Raw genomic sequence first — 1323 nt, 5'->3', positions numbered from 1 at the left:
TAGCCTTGCCAGCAGAGATTATTTATTTACTTTAAGAGTTAAGAGTGGCAGTTTGGGGATAGCACCAGGAGATATCAGCTGTGATGGCTTAGAGAAACAGTGTAAACTGGCAGTGTAAACAAGAGCAGGGCATGTATGAGTAGTTGAGAAAGGTGAATAGGAGTACGACTAGATAGAAGATAGTAGGGATGACAAGTTTTCTGGGGCACAGTCCAAGTTGGTCTGGTGTCTGGAATGAGACTGGGGCCTAATAAAAGGGAGCATCCATACAGGAGCTCAAATGGGCTGTACCCTGTAGCATTCCGAAGACAGGCCTGAATTCTGAGAAGGGAAAGTGGTAAAAGTATTGTCCAGTCCTTTTTAAGTTAGTGGCTGAGCTTGGTGAGGTGTGTTTTTAAAAGAACATTAATCCGTTCTACCTTTCCTGAAGACTGAGGACCGTAAGGGATATAAAAGTTTCACTGAATACCAAGAGCCTGAAAAAATGCTTGGCTGATTTAACTAATAAAGGCTGGTCCGTTATCAGACTGTATAGAGGTGGGAAGGCCAAACCAAGGAATTATGTCTGACAGAAGGGAAGAGATGACTGTGGTGGCCTTCTCAGACCCTGTAGGAAAGGCCTCTACCCATCCAGTGAAAGTGTCTACCCAGACTAAGAGGTATTTTAGTTTTCTGACTCGGGGCATGTTGAGTAAAGCCAATTTGCCAGTCCTGGGAGCGGGGCAAATCCCTGAGCTTGATGTGTAGGGAAGGGAGGGGGCCTGAATAATCCCTGAGGAGTAGTAGAATAGCAGATGGAACACTGAGAAGTTATATCCTTGAGGATAGATTTCCACGATGGAAAGGAAATGAGAGGTTCTAAGAGGCGGGCTAGTGGCTTGTACCATAGCATAGCCTGCCTTTGCTGGTGTGTGGCGATTAGGCCTGGTGGAACTGCCATCAATAAACCAAGTGTGATCAGGGTGAGGAACAGGAAAGAAGGAAATATGGGGAAATGGGGTGAATGTCAGGTGGATCAGAGAGATACAGTCATGGGGGTCAGGTGTGGTATCAGGAATAAAGTGGAAGGCCGGATTGAAGTCCGGGCCAGGAACAATGGTAATTGTGGGAGACTCAACAAAGAGTGAGTACAGCTGAAGGAGCCAGTCAGCAGACAGTATATGTGTCAGGTGTGAGGAAGAAAATAGATTTTGGAAGTTAGGAGAACTGTAGAGAGTGAGTTGAGCATAGTTTGTGATTTTAAGGGCCTCTAAAAGCATTAGGGCAGTGGCAGCCGCTGCATGCAGACTTGAGGGCTAGGCAAAACAGTAAGGTCAAGTTGTT

General features: G+C 46.0%; 1 annotated feature.

Moving 5' to 3' along the window:
* Positions 423–651: a silencer, noted in NCBI's record as "fragment chr2:150973602-150973830 (GRCh37/hg19 assembly coordinates)". NCBI's record gives its function as "represses an EF-1alpha promoter that drives an FKBP-Casp9 reporter gene in an ReSE screen in phorbol 12-myristate 13-acetate-treated (for megakaryocytic differentiation) K562 erythroleukemia cells {active_cell/tissue: K562(+PMA)}" and the evidence as "EXISTENCE:reporter gene assay evidence [ECO:0000049][PMID:32094911]".

This window comes from Homo sapiens, chromosome 2 (assembly GCF_000001405.40).
Source record: "Homo sapiens chromosome 2, GRCh38.p14 Primary Assembly".
Classification (NCBI taxonomy): domain Eukaryota; kingdom Metazoa; phylum Chordata; class Mammalia; order Primates; family Hominidae; genus Homo; species Homo sapiens.
The sequence above is the reverse complement of the archived record's forward strand: the minus strand, read 5'-3'. Positions and strand labels throughout refer to the sequence as shown.